The sequence below is a fragment of the Homo sapiens genome, chromosome 12, assembly GCF_000001405.40.
Source record: "Homo sapiens chromosome 12, GRCh38.p14 Primary Assembly".
NCBI lineage: Eukaryota > Metazoa > Chordata > Mammalia > Primates > Hominidae > Homo > Homo sapiens.
In genome coordinates this window covers 51,066,194-51,083,830 of record NC_000012.12, presented here as the reverse complement: position 1 = coordinate 51,083,830, position 17,637 = coordinate 51,066,194, and the positions used below count along the sequence as shown (strand labels likewise).

Here is a 17,637-nt window from a genome sequence, read left to right as displayed (position 1 = left end):
TATTTAAGATCTGTAGCTGAGTCTCCTCTCTTCCCCCATTAAAAGGTTGCAGCAGAGCTGCCGCCTCGGGAGCCGGTTTGCGCGCCGGCTTCGGCTTTGCAGCAGTTACCGCCTACAACTCCCGGCATGCTGCTGGGTGTGGGCCGGCCCGTAGACTCCATTTCCCAGCCAGCCCCGGGTCTCGGTCAGGACGTGCCGGCGCCTATAAGAGCCAGTGCGCTGCGGCCGGATCCTATTGTTAGCCGGAGCCGGGGCGGTTCTGGGCGTCTGCTGCCGGGGGCGCCCGAGTTGCCGGAGACGCCCGGCCCTCTCTGCCTGCCGGCTGGGCTGCCCACCGCCCTCCCTCCCCGCCCTGCCGCCCTGGGAGCTCCCCGGCCGTCGCCGCGGGGCCCGGGACTCGCTCGCTCCTCCCTCCTTCCCACCGGGCTAGGGCGGCGGCGGCAGCGGGGGCGGCAGAGACCATCACGGGAGGAGGCAGCTGCGGCGGGGCCGGTAATGGGCCTAGGGGTGCGGGGCGGAGGGTGCCGCCTCGTCCTTTCTCGGGATCGGCCCTCGGGCGGCCGTGGAGGAGTGGTCAAGCCCAGAGCCGTGCGGATGGAGGGGTCAGAAATGAGAGGCTCGGACGGGAGCGGTCGGGGGGCGGGGAGGTCGGGTGCCGTTGGGAAGGAACCGAGTCGGGAAGAGGCGTGGGAGCGAGGGGCACCGAGGACGCTGGCCCGGACTGCGGGGGCAGCTCGCGGGAGACCGATGGGCGGCTTGGAAGCCTGCAGGATTGCAGATGAGGATTGAGTTCGGAATGGAGTGGAGAATGATGTAGGATGGAGGAAAGTGAAGGAAGGGGAGGGGGAACAGAGGAAAATGTGGGAGGAGTGGTTGGGAATTTGTGAGTAGCAGGCAGGAAGGGATGCGGAAGGCTGGGTAGGGGCTGCAGAGGATTGGAATGAGCGGGAAGGTTAGCAGGAATCAGAGGGAAGTGGGCCGAGAGCTGAAGGGTTCGGCAGGAGTGTTCATTAAAAGGAACTGGTGACTTGACATGTCCCTTCGCTCCGGTTCCTGATGTCTCCCATATTTCTGGCGTCGTGTGGGAAAATGAAAGCATCAATTGCCCTGGTTGCTAGCTTGATCTTTTTTCATAGGCCCAATTACGCAGCCAACTGCCACCCGTCCCTTTTAGTGCTGTGGTCTTGATTCATCCTTTTAAAGGGGTTGAGAGTGGCAGTGTGACACACAAACTGTTCTTCAGAATGAAATGCTAGAAGTTATCCCCACAAGACAACACTGTCCCCTTGTCCTGCAGTTTTCAGTTCAAGGTAAATTCATAGTTCAGATTTTTTTCTTCACTGGCTTTCTGTCTTGCAAATCCACAAAGCCAGGATGTTGGTTGTGCCGGTGTTATAAATGACTGGATATCCTTGAGAGTTAATGCAGCATCATGTTCCAGTTCCCACAAAGATCTGTCTTCCACACGATGGTAGTTTAGGCATGGAAAATTCTAACCTTGTGTTAGTGAATGGGTAAAAATCGGGGAGTGGGGGTGGTGAGTGCACGGCTTTCTTTAAACACCTAACTTAAGCGGGGGGTTTTCACTTGGGTGCTTTGTAAGTTCATGATCCTGGTGATCACAAAGACACATGGATCCATGAAATTCATGGTATATGAGAAACAACCACAGTATCTTGTAAAAGGAGAAACAGGGCAGGTCATTTTATTCAGGTTTATGGTAACACAGCAGCAAGCCTTCCTTCCAACCCAGCTACAGATGGTAGCCCTGACCATCTTACTGGAGGTTTTGATTCCTTGACCTTTAGCAGAAGGTTGGGTTCCAGTCAAGTGAAGAGGCTTTCTCCTGTGAGATGTAGCTTATTACTTTGGACTCATTTAAGAAAGAGACTTATATTACCTAAACTTTGCAAATAGATTCTTCCAGAAAATTTTGCCTGGGCAGTCCCTCTTGCTGCTCTCACATATGCTGTTTTTTTTTGTTGTTGTTGTTGTTTGTTTGTTTGTTTGTTTTGGTGGTTATAGGAATCCTTTTAGGCCTGAAAAAAACTTAGATCTAGTACTAAAATATACATATTCTGGTGGAACTGTTTATTAGGTGCTAGCCTGATGTATTCTGTGCTCTGGATCTTAACTATTTCATATAACTTTGGAAAATGTTCAGCTAGAAACTCTTGAGAAAAGACCATTAGACATGTAGCCAGAAAGTGTCAGCTGACCTTTCATTTCACTGGCATTTAAAAGCTTTAAAGAGAGTTGCATTATTTTCTCCAAAAGCATTTGTTGAGTTGGTCATTTTGACAGTTAACTGTCGGTTTTTACCTGCATTCCTAGGTGCTAAAACTTACAAGTGTATCTCTTGAACACAGGCATTGATCCTCTACCAATGAATAATTGAGAGAGGTAGGAATGACTGATTTTTCTAGTTGTAGTTTGAAAGATTAATTTGATGAATTGGAAAGTATGGAAACTATTCTGTTACTATTGCAAAGAAAGATTTATTTTTTTAAAAAATTTATTTTTATTTATTTTATTTTATTTTTTTAGGCAGGTCTGGCTCTGTCACCCAGGCTGGAGTGCAGTGGCACAATCTCAGCTCACTGCAACCTCTGCCTCCTGGGTTCAAGCAATCCTCCCGCCTTAGCCTCCCAAGTAGCTGAGACGACAGGCTCACACCACCATGCCCAGCTAGTTTTTGTATTTTTAATAGAGGTGGGGTTTTGCCATGTTGGCCAGGCTGGTCTTGAACTCCTGGCCTCAAGTGATCTGCCCGCCTTGGCCTCCCAAAGTGCTAGGATTACAGGCATGTGCCACCATGCCGGGCCAATTTTTTGAAAATACAGAGACAGGGTCTTGCTATGTTGGCCAAGTTGGTTTTGCACTCCTGGCCTCAAGCAATTCTCCTGCCTCAGCCTCCCAAAGAAGGATTTCTTCAGGGCACCATGGAAGTGAACAGGAGGTTTGTTCTTGGTGCCCAGTGAACATCTTCATCTAAAAGTCGAGTTCATATCAGAGAGTTGGACAAGGGGAGCTGGGTTGAAATTTAATCTTACATTGTTGTTGGGACATAATCTTTTTTCTTTTTAAAAAAATGGTGGAGCTAATGTCAGAGAAAATGCTGCTAACAGAGCCTGGGTAGGGTGAAGAGAGGAGTCCTTGAGGATTTCCCTGAGTGCCATCCATGTGAATGGAAGAGTTTGACCATAAGTCAGTATACATGTTATTTACACACATAGCCATAGGTTCCAGTTATTCTCAGACAGCTTAAGGAAAATACTTTTCTCCTAGGTGTCACATCTTTTTCCTTCTTTCTTACCTATCTCCTATCATTGCCCAGAAACCACTATTCCAGAAGTAGAGAAAACACAGAAAAAGAGGAGAATAGAACAAGCAGCCAGCAATCCTTGCTGCATCCAAGTTCACAAAAAGTAACCTAAAGATAACTGATACTCCTGCGGGCAGCTGGGTTAAGACCGTGGAGAATTGTAGTAATAAAGATGATTTTGGATCAGACCCAAGTTCATATGGGGCTTAAAGAGAAATATTCACCGGAGATACTACCAGAAGCCTGGGGACACCTGAGGAAAGAACAGGAGTGGACAGTTACTTCCAGTCATAAATCCTTGAGTGTTTCCAGGCTAAGGAAAAAGACCGCCTGCCTGCCTGCCTGCCTGCCTGCCTGCCTGCCTGCCTGCCTGCCTGCTTGCCTTCTTCTCTTCCCTCCCTCCCTCTTTTTTTTTTTTTTTTTTTTTTTTTTTGAGACAGAGTCTTACTCTGCCGCCCAGGCTGGAGTGCAATGGCGTGATCCCAGCTCACTGCAACTTCCGCCTCCTGGGTTCAAGCGATTCTCCTGCCTCAGCCTCCTGAGTAGCTGAGATTACAGGCACTCGCCACCACACCTGGCTAATCATTGTATTTTTGGTAGAGACGGGGTTTCACCATATTGGCCAGGATGGTCTCGATCTCTTGACCTTGTGATCCACCCGCCTTGGCCTCCCAAAGTGCTGAGATTAGAGGCGTGAGCCACCACACCCAGCTTTTTTTTTTTTTTTTTTTTTTTTGACAAGGTCTCCCTCTGTTGCCCAGGCTAGAGTGCAATGGCACGATCTTGGCTCACCACAACCTCCACCTCCCGGGTTCAAGCGATTCTCCTGCCACAGCCTCCTGAGTAGCTGGATTACAGGCATGTGCCACCACGCCTGGCTAATTTTTTTTTTTTTTTTGGATTTTTAGTGGAGATGGGGTTTCTCCATGTTGGTCAGGCTGGTCTCGAACTCCAGCCTCAGGTGATCTGCCCGCCTCGGCCTCCCAAAGTGCTGGGATGACAGACATGAGCCACTGTGCCCAGCTTTATTCTGTCTCCTTAAAAAATTCCACCCACATAAGCATTCAATCACAAGGGGCTCCCCCTCCCCGCTACAATAGAATGGAATGAGAAATTTGTTTGTCGATCGGTATCTTTTTTTTTTTTTAATACTTTAAGTTCTAGGGTATATGTGCACAACATGCAGGTTTGTTACATATGTATACATGTGTCATGTTGGTGTGCTGCACCCGTTAACTTGTCATTTACATTAGGTATAATCCCTCCCCGCTTCCCCCACCCCACGACAGGCCCCGGTGTGTGATGTTCCCCATCCTGTGTCCATGTGTTCTCATTGTTCAATTCCCACCTATGAGTGAGAACGTGCGGTGTTTGGTTTTCTGTCCTTGAGATAGTTTGTTCAGAATGATGGTTTCCAGCTTCATCCATGTCCATACAAAGGACATGAACTCATCCTTTTTTATGGCTGCATAGTATTCCATGGTGTATATGTGCCACATTTTCTTAATCCAGTCTATCATTGATGGACATTTGGGTTGGTTCCAAGTCTTTGCTATTGTGAATAGTGCCTCAATAAACATAACGTGTGCATGTGTCTTTATAGCAGCATGATTTATAATCCTTTGGGTATATACCCAGTAATGGGATGGCTGGGTCAAATGGTATTTCTAGTTCTAGATCCTTGAGGAATCGCCACACTGTCTTCCACAATGGTTGAACTAGTTTTCAGTCCCACCAACAGTGTAAAAGTGTTCCTATTTCTGCACATCCTCTCCAGCACCTGTTGTTTCCTGACTTCTTAATGATCGCCATTCTAACTGGTGTGAGATGGTATCTCATTGTGGTTTTGATTTGCGTATCTCTGATGGCCAGTGATGATGAGCATTTTTTCATGTGTCTGTTGGATGCATAAATGTCTTCTTGTTGATCGGTATCTTTAAACCCAGCTAAAATCTTAACCCATAAAAAGCCCTTGGCTCGCTCCTTTCTTACCATGCCCTAAGAATGTGACCTCTGATAAGATCAGTAACATGAAGAACTAAACTGATACTTTGGGCTCGTTTTTTAATTTAATTACAGTTTTTATCAAATACTTGATTTTTTTTTTTCTTCCCTGGCAAATTTATTTCAGGAATGTGCTTGTCTGAGACTTCTGATGGCTGAGGTTTCTTAGGTACATCTTGTGACTTGAATGCAGAATTTGATGCAATCTGGATAGATTAGGAAATACCTTCTCTAAGGTACTTATTACGTCTGGTTGACTTTGTAGAGCTGATCCAAGAGCAGGCAAATTGCTTCCAACAGACACAGTCCAGAAAAGCAGCTCTGTAGCAGGCATCTCTTGACACCACAGTATATTCTGGGTAGCTGCTCTGCAGTAATGCAGCCCTGTCGTTCTGGGCAGTGTTGTTATTCCTGCTGCATAATTAGCAACTAGTGAGATCATAGTCTGGGGAGATTCTGGCATTACTGAGGCAAGGGAGGGTTCGTGTCTCATCACACATGGCTCCCGCTTTGACAGCATTTCTGCTGAGCAGATTCGTGTCCTTCTGGAACTTAAATCCAAAGATGGAGGAAAAAGATTTGTACCTAGGGAAATGGACTATCTCAGACTCCTTGGTTGTATGAAAGTGTGTTGAAAACAACACTGCATGCCATATTGATATAACCAGAATAAATAGTTACTTCTCTTGCTATTTGTTTTCCCCTTGCTGATTTCTTTATAGAGGGCAAAGATTGTAAAGCTACAATGTCCTTGCACAGAGGATGGTGACAGACCAGATGAGCCCTATTTTATGGAGCAGTATGAGATTGGGAAAGATTCTGGGTTTTGAAGCCATGCAGATTCTAATCTTGGGTCCATTCTTTGGTACCAAATTTGACCTTTATAGAAGCCTGGTGAAACACTTTACACTTATGAAGATCTGGGTAAAGGGTTTTCCTGACTGCTAATGTCCTTCAAAATTGAGTGCCTGGAGCAGTATTTCCCAAAGTGTATTCCAAGCATTATTTGCACTCTAAAATACCTTGGAAACAGTGGGTTCCTTAATCACGTTTGTAGAAACACTGCATTCTGTGTTCTCTCAGCCTTCACCATCCTTATTAGTATATTAAAAGCCTCTAAGAAGTTCCACTATAGGCAATTTTTAAAACCCTTTTGACACAGCAGTCGTATTTCTATGTAAAAGCTATTAATACCATAAGACACGCACTTTGGGAAATGCCGGGCTGTATTATCACTAGGAAAAATAAGTGGGTCTAGCCGGGTTCAGTGGTGTGTGCCTTGTAGTCCCAGCTACTCTGGAGGCTGAGGCAGGAGGATTGCTCGAGCCCAGGTGTTCAAGACCAGCCTGGGCAACATAGTGAGACCCTGTTTCTAAAACAGATAAATAGTTGGGTCTAGTCTTGGTTTAGGCAAAGCCTAATTCTGCTTTTCTTTTTTTCCTTTTTTTTTTTTTTTTGCCAACCAAACAAGCAGCAGTGATAATTGTGTTTTTGATTTCAAGTTCTTCTCACTGGTGCCTTGGAGAGCTTTTCTATATGATCAGAAGAGCAGCTACTGTGATTCCTGGGCTAATGAAGCCTAGACCCCAGCTGGATTGGAAGCAAAGGCCTTTCCTTCACTGGGAAAGGTGCTGCTGCTACCCATCTCATTATTCTAAGAGTGATTGAGAATAGAGGGGCTGAAGGGAAACGAAAGTAGGAGAATGTTGGCCAGAGCTAGTAGAGAAAGAACGTAATATTGAGAAAGCAGACATCAGTGCTAGGTGAGGTGCTTTCTTTAGAGAGCTGTGTGTATAGACTGGGGAGGAGTCTGTCTGGGGACAGGAATGCTGATTCCTTTTTTTCCCTGGGCAGAATCCTAATGTACCTGGCTAGCTGGTGGTGAGTAGGGGCTTTGGGGCCAACTTGGTGGGCTCCCCAAGGAAACCCCTTTGAAACCAATGGATGCATTCACGGGCTCGGGTCTCAAGAGGAAGTTTGATGATGTGGATGTGGGCTCATCAGTTTCCAACTCAGATGATGAGATCTCCAGCAGTGATAGTGCTGACAGCTGCGACAGCCTCAATCCTCCTACCACTGCCAGCTTCACACGTGAGTAAGCTGCTCCGTCCCTGCCTATACCCACATTCCCCAAGCAGCAGAACCCATGGCAGCTCGAGACAGCGTCTGTGTGGCTTGGGGATTTGCCCTTAATCATCATCTTTCCTTGCTCTTTGGAGGACCTCATTTCTCTCATACCGTAGACTAAAGTCTGATTTATTCTAGCTGATTTTACTTGTCTTGTGGGTTGCTGGTTCCCAGAATGGGTTAAATTAGATTGAAAAAGGAGTCTAGGACTCTACCCTGCCCCCACCAGAGTCCCAGAGAGTTCCAGGAAATTGTAGCTGTAGCAGGATATAAATGCTTGCTGCTTGGACAACTGGGGCAAATCCAGATTTCTTAATTCTTTTTTTTTCTCGTTTTGCTCTTGTTGCCCAGGCTGGAGTGCAGTGGCGAGATCTCAGCTCACTGCAACCTCTGCCTGCCGGGTTCAAGTGATTCTCCTGCTTCAGGCCTCCCCAGTAGCTGGGATTATAGGCACCTGCCACCACGCCCGCCTAATTTTTTGTGTTTTTAGTAGAGACAAGGTTTCATCATGTTGGCCAGGTTGGTCTTGAACTCCTGACCACAGGTGACCCACCCGCCTCGGCCTCCCAAAGTGCAGGGATTACAGGCGTGAGCCACTGTGCCCGGCCAAGCTTTCTTAATTCTTACGGCTCTATTAGTTCTTGGAAAGAACTGATACTATATATGAGGGGTTGCCCATGGGCCAAATCTGGCCCAATGCCTGTTTTGTTGGAACACAGTTATACCCATTGTGTATGATTGCTTTCATGCTACAGTGGCAGAGTTGAATTATTGCAACAGAGACCTCATGGCCTGTAGAGCCTAAAATAGTTACTGTCTGGCTCTTGACAGTTTGCTGTCCCCTGCTACAGATCAATGCTATCCAATGGAATTTTCTGTTATGATAGAAATGTTCTGTATCTGCATTGTCCAACAGTAGCCAGTTGCCATATGTGGCTATTGAGCACTTGAAATGTGGTTAGTGGCTGGGCGCAGTGGCTCACGCCTGTAATCTCAGCACTTTGGGAGGCTGATATGGGTGGATCACTTGAACTCAGGAGTTCAAGACCAGCCTGGGCAACATGGCGAAACCTCGTCTCTACAAAAAATACAAAAATTAGCTGGGTGTGGTGGTGTGCAACTGTAGTCCCAGCTACTCTGGAGGCTGAGGTGGGAGGATTACTTGGGCCTGGGAGGTTGGGGCTGCAGTGAGCCGTGATTGTGCCATGCACTCTAGCCTGGGTGACAGAGCAAGAGCCTGTCTCAAAGGAAAAAAGAAAATAAAGAAATATGGTTAGTATAATTGAGCTGAATTTTTGTTTGTTTGTTTTTGAGATGGAGTCTTGCTCTGTCGTCAGGCTGAAGTGCAGTGGCACAATCTCGGCTCACTGCAACCTCCGTCTCCCAGGTTCAAGTGATTCTCCTGCCTCAGCTTCCTGAGTAGCTGGGACTACAGGCATGTGCCACCATGCCCAGCTAATTTTTGTATTTTTAGTAGAGATGGGGTTTCATCCTGTAGGCCAGGATGGTCTTGATCTCTTGACCTCATGATCTGCCTGCCTCGGCTTCCCAAAGTGCTGGGATTACAGGCATGAGCCACCATGCCCGGCCTGAGCTGAATTTTAAATTTTATTTAATTTTAATTAGCTTAAATTGCCACACATGGCTAGTAGCTGCTGTATTGGACAGTAAAGCTGTAGATTCTTATATCCAGAAAAGATTAACTAGAGATCCTCTTCCCAGCTGATGTCTAAAAATGGATTTTGTGGTCATCTGTTTAGGTATAGTCAGTCTGGAGGCAGTTGTATGAACCAGCTGAAGTTCAAGGTCCCTTCTGACAGAGCATTTAGGATTTGAAGATATTAGACAGTTCTCTAGATATAGAGAGCACGTTTAGAGAAGAAGAGTTGAGAGCCTAGATGGATGAGAAAGAGCAAGCTCCCCAAACAGGTCATCCCTGAGTTAATAAAGCATCTCTCGGCCAGGCATGGTGGCTCACACCTGTAATCCCAGCACTTTGGGAGGCCGGGGCGGGCGGATCACCTGAGGTCAGGAGTTCAAGACCAGCCTAGTCAACATGGCGAAACCCCATCTCTACTAAAATACAAAAATTAGCTGGGCGTGGTGACACACGCCTGTAATCCCAGCTTCTCAGGAGGCTGAGGCAGGAGAATTGCTTGAACCCGGGAGGTGGAGGCTGCAGTGAGCCGAGACAGTGCCACAGCACTCCAGCCTGGGCAACAGAGCGAGACTCCATCTCTAAATAAATAAATAGAAAAATAAATAAAACATCTCTCTGTGCTCCCTTCTCAGCCACATCCATCCTGAAGCGGCAGAAGCAGCTGCGGAGGAAGAATGTACGCTTTGACCAGGTGACTGTATACTACTTTGCCCGGCGCCAAGGTTTTACCAGTGTGCCCAGCCAGGGTGGTAGCTCTCTGGGCATGGCCCAGCGCCATAACTCTGTACGGAGCTATACACTCTGTGAGTTTGCCCAGGAACAGGAGGTGAACCATCGAGAGATTCTGCGTGAGCACCTGAAGGAAGAGAAACTCCATGCCAAGAAAATGAAGGTGCCTAAGTGTTCTGGGATCTACTGCTGTCCATGTAGGAAACCATTTAGGTTCATTGGTTGGTTGGTTGATTGATTTTTTTTTTTTTTTTTTTTCTGGGACAGAGTCTTGCTCTGTCGCCCGGGCTGGAGTGCACTGGCATGATATTAGCTCACTGCAACCTCGGCCTCCCCAGGTTCAAGCGATTTCTTGTGCCTCAGCCTCCCGAGTAGTTGGGATTACAGGTGTGCATCCGTCTTGTTTTTGTATTTTTAGTAGAGACAGGGTTTTGCCATGTTGCCCAGGCTGGTCTCGAACTCCTGGTCTCAAGTGATCTACCTGCCTCGGCCTCCCAAAGTGCTGAGACTACAGGTGTGAGCCACTGCACCCAGCTGATTTTTTTTTTTATTTGACTGTTGTCCTTGGGGTATAGAGATTTCAACTCTTTCTAATGAAAAATCTCAGATTTGAAATCAAATCTCAGTCCAAGACTCCCGTCTTTGCATCTGGCAGGGGAGTCTACCAGATATAGCAAAATGGCTTCCCTAGAATTTCCCCCTCCCAAACCCCCACTGCCTCCCTCAATTTTATGTATGTATGTATGTATGTATGTATGTTTTCTTTTGAGACAGGGTCTCTCTCTGTCACCCAGGCTGGAGTGCAGTGGCTCAATCACAGCTCATTGCAGCCTTGAACTCCTGGCCTCAAGCCATCTGCCAATCTCAGCCTCCCAAGTATCTGGGAACCACAGGCTCATGCCACCATGCCTGGCTAGTATTTTTTTTAATAGTAGTGGGATCTTGCAACGTTGCCCAGGTTGGTCTCAATTCCTGGGCTCAAGTGGTCCTTCCCTCTTGACCTCCCAAAGTGCTGGGATTACAGGCATGAGCCACCATGCCCAACACCCCCGCCCCCAATTTATTTTTAAGTTTAAAATATGAATACGTGAAGGCGTTCAGGTCTGTCACCCTGGAACTCAAGGAAGCACAATTTTCAATTTCTGGTCAAATAATTGTCCCTTGGCCGGATGCACAGAACAGGTTTTGGATATTTCACAGTCTCTGAAAGGATCCTGCTGTTTCTATAATCCCCATCACCCTTACGTGATAATCTTGTAGATACAAACAGCATTATCAAATAGTTATTTAGATTTGTATAATACTGTGCCTGCCACCTGATACAGCACCACCTCTTCTTCGAGAGAGAGAGGCTGGGAAAAGACCCACCTTACATGGCTCTTCATAGCCACTCTTTTTTTTTTTTTTTTTTTTTTTTTTTTTTGAGACGGAGCCTAGCTCTGTTGCCCAGGCTGGAGTGCAGTGGTGCGATCTCGGCTCACTGCAAGCTCCACCTCCCGGGTTCACACCATTCTCCTGCCTCAGCCTCCTGAATAGCTGGGACTACAGGTGCCCAACACCACACCCGGCTATTTTTTTTTTTGTATTTTTAATAGAGACGGGGTTTCACCATGTTAGCCAGGATGGGTTCGGTCTCCTGACCTCGTGATCTGCCCACCTCAGCCTCACAAAGTGCTGGGATTATAGGCGTGAGCCACCGCACTTGGCCACCCATTTTTCATCTTAGTACTGTTTGGTATTCCCACAGCCATAGTTGCTACTACCTCTCAAAAATTTCTCCCAGAGATCCTGATTCCAAATTTGAAGAACACCAGTTTAAGCCTGGCCAGGTTTCTTTGAAGCCCAAAGCATGCTGACCCATATTAAAACAGGTAGCTCCATTATTTCCAGAGTCATGAGAGAGACACGTTAGAATGTGGTGGAGTTGGAGACTGGTGGCAGAGGATGTAGGCTAACCAGAGCATCTCATTCCTTTCTTTCTCTGAGAGCTGTATGTCTACTTCCCTCAGACTATTCCTAAAGCCCTACACCTGTTTTTCTCACTCTAGAATGACATTCAGGCTTCCCTTTCCTCTGTCTGAGGAATTCCATCACTGACCCTGTCACCTTCCAGCTGCCGTAGCAACAGCTGGGCAAATAAACACTGTTCTCATCAATTGCAGTGAAGGCATTCCTTCCTTTCCCTAGAAGAAAACTCCACTCTCCTAAATCTGGCAGAGGAATGATCTGTCAAAACAGTATACCATCCTGTTCTGTGTTCTCCACTTACAGGAATTCTAGGGACGAAGCCAGGCAAACCCAAGACAGATACAGGAGCTCTACTTGTTAGCAGGATGTTTAGTGAGCACCAGCAGTGATGACATCTAATACAGCACTTTGTTTTTTTAAAGATGGGGTCTCATTTTGTTGCCCAGGCTAGTCTCAAACTCCTGGGCTCAAGTGATCCTCCCACCTCAGCCTCCCAAGTAGTTGGGACTACAGGTGTGGGCCACTGCACCAGGCTTATCTTTATATGTCAAGAGGAATCCCTTGCTTTACCTTACCTAGTTTATTCTTTGCTTAGATTTTTTTTTTCTCTTGAAACAGGGTCTCACTCTGTCATCCAGGCTGGAGCACAGAGGCAATCCTCAAGCGATCCTCCTGCCTTAGCCTCCCAAATAGCTGGGACTGCAGCTGCACCCACCACCATGCTTGGTTAATTTTTGTAGGTTTTTTTTTTTTTTTTTGATGCAGGGTCTCACTCCGTTGCCCAGGCTGGAGTGCAGTGGCGCAATCTCGGTTAACTGCAACCTCCGCCTCCCAGGTTCAAGCGATTCTTGTGCCTCAGCCTCCCTCAACTGAGATTATAGGCATGTACCACCATGCTGGGCTAATTTTTTTATTTTTAGTAGAGACGAAGTTTTGCCACGTTGGCCAGGCTAGTCTCGAAGTCCTGGCCTCAAGTGATCCACCCGCCTCGGCCTCCCAAAGTGCTGGGATTACAGGAGTGAGCCACCATGTCCGGCCAGTTTTTGTAGAGATGGGGTCTTGTTCTGTTGCCCAAGCTGGTCTCGAACTCCTGGTCTTAAGCGATTCTTCCACCTTAGTCTCTCAGAGGTGCTGGGATAACAGTCATGCGCCACTGCACCAGGCCTGTTTTTTAGCTCTCTATAAGGGAGGCAGTTGGTTTCAAAAAATGTACATTCTGCATCTCTCATGTACCATCTAATGTTTGTCTTCCTTTGGGGTTGTTCCAGCAGCTGCTTGGTGTTCCGCAACTTTAGTTAACTATAATTTTTCTAATATTTTTATTTCATTTTTTGTATTTTGGCCTGTTATCCATATGGAACTCATTATCATGAATAGTATACATTGGGAATCTTTTTTCCCCCAGAAAATATCCACTTGTTCCAATACGATTTAATAACTAGAAGACTCTTTTCTCACTGATTTGAAATGCCACTTCTATCTCGATATTTAAATTCTCACATCTATATGAGTGTCCTCGTGTTACATCTCTAATCCCTTGCCTATGAGAGGACAGCAGGAGGGGGTATGCTTAGGGGGAGGTCAACCCTGGAGATGTAGACAGGAGCAATCCTGAGATAAACAGAAAGGCCCTTTGTAGTTGGCCTGCCTAGTACCGAAATCACTGACTAGGAAACCTCCAGAAGCCCCACTTTACTTCTCTTCATTTCTCTACCACCTCCCCCACAAACAAGAAAACCAGGTGTGTAGCTGATTACCCAAGCCCATTGCATCACATCTCTCCCAGGAGTTGTTCCTTTAGCAGCTCTACTCTGGTTGTCTGATGAAATCAACCAAAGGCTCCAGTCACGTGGCTTTCATCCTGCTAGCAGCTTCCAGAGCCCCAGGGATTATGAGGCCTCATTTTCTTGAGTTCTCTAGTGAGTTTTCAGAACTCTTTCAGCCACGGCTTGTCTTCAATCTGTCCTTCCACCAAGACTCCCTTTCTTGGCTCTCTATCCATCTCAGCCCAGAAAACCCAGATTTCTCGGTGGCTCACGCCTGTAATCCCAGCACTTTGGGAGGCTGAGGCGGGCGGATCATGAGGACAGGAGATCAAGACCATCCTGGCTAACACAGTGAAACCCCGTCTCTACTAAAAATACAAAAATACAAAAAATTAGCGAGGCGTGGTGGCAGGCGCCTGTAGTCCCAACTACTCGGGAGGCTAAGGCAGGAGAATGGCGTGAACCCAGGAGGCGGAGCTTGCAGTGAGCCGAGATTGCAGCACTGCACTCCAGCCTGGGTGACAGAGTGAGACTCAGTCTCAAAAAAAAAGAAAAAAAAGAAAAAAAAAAACCCAGATTTCTGCCTGTACATAGTACGCTCAGTATTATTGATACCACCTTTCCTCACATACAGCTTTTCTTTGAAGTCAAATAAAAAAGGATTAGGCCTGGTGCAGTGGCTCAGGCCTGTAATTATAGCACTTAGGGAGGTGGAGTTGGGTGTATCAGTTGAGGTCGGGAGTTCGAGACCAGCCTGGGCAACATTGTGAAACCCTGTCTCTACTAAAAATACAAAAATTAGCTGAGCATGGTGGCAGGAGCCTGTAATTCCAGCTACTTGGAAGGCTGAGGCAGGAGAATCACTTGAACCCAGGAGGCAGAGATTGCAGTGAGCCGAGATCATGCACTGCATTCCATCCTGAGCGACAGTGAGACCCTGTCTCAAAAAAAAAAAAAAAAAAAAGAAAGGAGAAGGAAGCCGGGCACGGTGGCTCATGCCTGTAATCCCATCACTTTGGGAGGCCGAGGTGGGCAGATTACAAGGTCAGGAGATTGAGACCATCCTGGCTAACACGGTGAAACCCCATGTCTACTAAAAATACAAAAAGTTAGCCGGGCGTGGTGGCAGGTGCCTGTAGTCCCAGCTACTCGGGAGACTGAGGCAGGAGAATGGCGTGAACCCAGGAGGTGGAGCTTGCAGCGAGCTGAGATCACGCCACTGCACTCCAGCCTGGGCGACAGAGCGAGACTCCGTCTCAAAAAAAAATGAAAAAAGAAAGGAGAAGAAATACATTTTTTCTCGGCCAAGGGCTTTCTTTAATACCTGTTAATATATTTGCTTTTTCTCCTTACAGTAGAATGAAGCTCTTTAGTGCATGCACAGATAATTGTTCACACTGTGGGGATTTGGGTTCATTGATTAAGACCTGGTAGCCTTTTACTACACTTTAATTTGCCCTTTTTTTTTCAAGAAGGTAGTTTTGCATTCAGTGGGTGCAAGTTGAAGGGTGTTTCACATTTTTCTGTATATCCAAGGATCATCCAGTCATTCACATACCTTTTCCTCTCTGTGTTAGAAGGCAAGTGAGTGTAAATTAGGGGATACATGTCTGGAAATAGACGGTATGTTTGTGGAAATAGATTTTCGTGTAGGAGGGAAGATGAGACGGGTTTTTGAGAAGCTTGGACCCAGAAAGGTGATGGTACGTAAGATTTCCCATCTTCCCACTCTGGATTTATTCTTTTGACTTGTGCTAGTGAATATAGCAGCCAGTAGTCACATACGGCTATTCAATTAAAATTATGTAAATTGGGCTGGCACAGTGGACCCCAGCACTTTGGGAGGCCGAGGTGTGTGGATCACTTGAGGCCAGCAGTTCAAGACTAGCCTGGCCAACACAGTGAAACCCTGTCTTTACTGAAAATAGAAAAAATTAGCCAGGCTGGTGACTCACGCCTGTAATCCCAACTACTTGGGAGGCAGGAGAATCGCTTGAACCCGGGAGGCGGAGGTTGTAGTGAGCCAAGACTGCACCACTGCACTCCCGCCTGGACGACAGAATGAGACTTTTGTCTCAAAAAAATAAATAAAATGACAGTTTTCCAATTGCTGCATTTCTAGTGCTCAGTAGCCACATGTGCTAGTAGCTGCCATCATTTTGGACAGCACAGATATTCCCATGATTGCAGAAGGTTCAAGGGACAGTGCTGCTCTGGGATGGTCACTGAGGAGGTGCATGCCGCTCATGTCTATGAGGCTAACCTTTCCTGTCTCTTGGCAGCTGACCAAGAATGGGACAGTGGAGTCGGTGGAGGCTGATGGCCTGACGCTGGATGATGTGTCAGATGAAGATATTGATGTGGAAAATGTGGAGGTGGATGATTACTTCTTCCTGCAGCCTCTGCCCACCAAACGGCGACGGGCCCTGCTGAGGGCTTCTGGGGTCCACCGTATTGATGCTGAAGAGAAGCAAGAACTTCGAGCCATCCGCCTGTCACGGGAAGAATGTGGTTGTGACTGCCGACTGTATTGTGACCCAGAAGCGTGTGCCTGCAGCCAGGCTGGGATTAAATGCCAGGTCAGTCCAAGTTGGCCTGAGATAGTATATCTACACCAGGGTCAGCGGGGTGAGGTGTGGGTGCCACTGAACATGGGAGGCCCATTCAGGGGTGGATTCCCTATGGTTGTGAACACTCTCCAGTTCCACAACCCTCCTCCGTCAACAGAGTAAGCAAACAGCACACGGCCAGGCATGGTGGCTCACACCTCTAATCCTAGCTATGTGGGAGGCTGAGGTAGGAGGATCTCTTGAGTCCAGGAGGTCAAGGCTGCAGTGAGCTGAGTTCACACCAGTGCACGCCAGCCTGGGTCACAGAGTGAGACCCTGTCTCTTAAAATTTTTGCAAAGAAAACAAGCATGACAGGATTCTTAGGCTGTGGAGGTATCTCATCTTTTTTTGTTTCATTTCTCAGAGGTGATAAGAAGCAGCTGTTAGGAAAGGGATGAAGAGGAGTTAGTACATTTAACATTTAGTAAATGTTTCCTAAATACTGATTCCTAAACAGTATTTCCTAAATACTGTTTCCTAAATACTGATTCCTTGAGATAAAAGGAAGCAGGACTGGGCATGGTGGCTCACATCTGTAATCCCAGCACTTTGGGAGGCCGAGGCAGGCAGGCAGATTGCTTCCCAGGAGTTCGAGACCAGCCTGGGCAACATGGCTAAGCCCCATCTTTACAAAAAATACAAAAATTAGCTGGACATGGTAGCATGGGCCTGTAGTCCCAGGTACTCAAGAGGCTGAGATGGGAGGAGGATCACTTGAGCCTGGGAGGCATAGGTTGCAGTAAGCTATGATTGTGCCACTGCACTCCAGCCCGGGCGACAGAGCAAGACCCTGTCTCAAAAAGTTAGCAGAGGAATGGTGTGGGCCTGTAGATTCTATCTGCAAACACTTATTGTTCAGTACCTCTACTCCAATTTTGAAAAAATCAAAATAGTATTCAGAGCTTTATAATTCAGGATCAGACCTGGCCTAGCAGAGCTTAAAACCATAGTTATCTGAAAGAGAAAGTATCATCTCTTGTTGGCTGCCCTTTTTTTTTTTTGAGACGGAGTCTCGTTCTGTCGCCCAGGCTGGAGTGCAGTGGCGCGATCTTGGCTCACTGCTACCTCCACCTCCTGGGTTCAAGTGATTCTCCCGCCTCAGCCTCCCAAGTAGCTGGGATTACAGGTGTGCACCACTATGCCCGGCTAATTGTTGTATTGTTGTAATTCTTTTTTTTTTTTTTTTTTGAGACGGAGTCTTGCTCTGTTGCCAGGCTGGAGTGCCGTAGCGCGTGATCTCGGCTCGCTGCAACCTCTGCCTCCCGGGTTCAAGCAATTCTCCTGCCTCAGCCTCCCGAGTAGCTGGGACTATAGGCACACACCACCACACCCAGCTAATTTTTGTATTTTTAGTAGAGACGGCGTTTCACCATGTAGGCCAGGATGGTCTCGATCTCTTGACCTCGTGATCCGCCTGCCTCAGCCTCCCAAAGTGCTGGGATTACAGG

The 17,637-nt window shown here is 47.2% G+C and overlaps 2 protein-coding genes across 17 annotated transcripts in view, besides 2 other annotated features; one reads left to right on the top strand and one right to left on the bottom strand.

Annotated features, from left to right (window-relative positions):
- Positions 184-673: a silencer, noted in NCBI's record as "silent region_4458". NCBI's record gives its function as "represses an Ori minimal core promoter by ATAC-STARR-seq in GM12878 lymphoblastoid cells {active_cell/tissue: GM12878}" and the evidence as "EXISTENCE:reporter gene assay evidence [ECO:0000049][PMID:35858748]".
- The window catches only part of CSRNP2 (cysteine and serine rich nuclear protein 2), a 22,392-nt gene continuing 4,989 nt past the window's right edge, over positions 235-17,637 (top strand). Inside the window, exons 1-6 of one of the 14 annotated variants that reach the window (XM_047429621.1) lie at positions 235-492; positions 1,137-1,310; positions 2,370-2,403; positions 7,184-7,420; positions 9,749-10,008; positions 15,862-16,158. In XM_047429621.1, the coding sequence (XP_047285577.1) occupies positions 7,270-7,420; positions 9,749-10,008; positions 15,862-16,158 (708 nt within the window). In that variant the 5' untranslated portion in view covers positions 235-492; positions 1,137-1,310; positions 2,370-2,403; positions 7,184-7,269. Of the gene's footprint in view, positions 1,311-2,334; positions 2,404-3,731; positions 6,958-7,183; positions 7,421-9,748; positions 10,009-15,861; positions 16,159-17,637 lie in introns of those variants that run through there. The other 13 variants (XM_024449215.2, XM_047429619.1, XM_047429618.1 and 10 more) reach the window with 13 other exon arrangements.
- Positions 13,900-14,400: an enhancer, noted in NCBI's record as "H3K27ac hESC enhancer chr12:51463214-51463714 (GRCh37/hg19 assembly coordinates)". NCBI's record gives its function as "activates a minimal SCP1, AML or CMV promoter by ChIP-STARR-seq in naive H9 embryonic stem cells {active_cell/tissue: H9 hESC(naive)}" and the evidence as "EXISTENCE:reporter gene assay evidence [ECO:0000049][PMID:30033119]".
- The window catches only part of LETMD1 (LETM1 domain containing 1), a 20,739-nt gene continuing 17,974 nt past the window's right edge, over positions 14,873-17,637 (bottom strand). For all 3 annotated transcript variants that reach the window (NR_045020.3, XM_047428688.1, NM_001351337.2), the window contains one exon: positions 14,873-16,569. Coding sequence is in view for 2 of the 3 variants with exons in the window: in XM_047428688.1 (XP_047284644.1) it covers positions 16,543-16,569 (27 nt within the window). In the remaining variant the exon portion in view is untranslated. The remainder of the gene's footprint in view (positions 16,570-17,637) is intronic.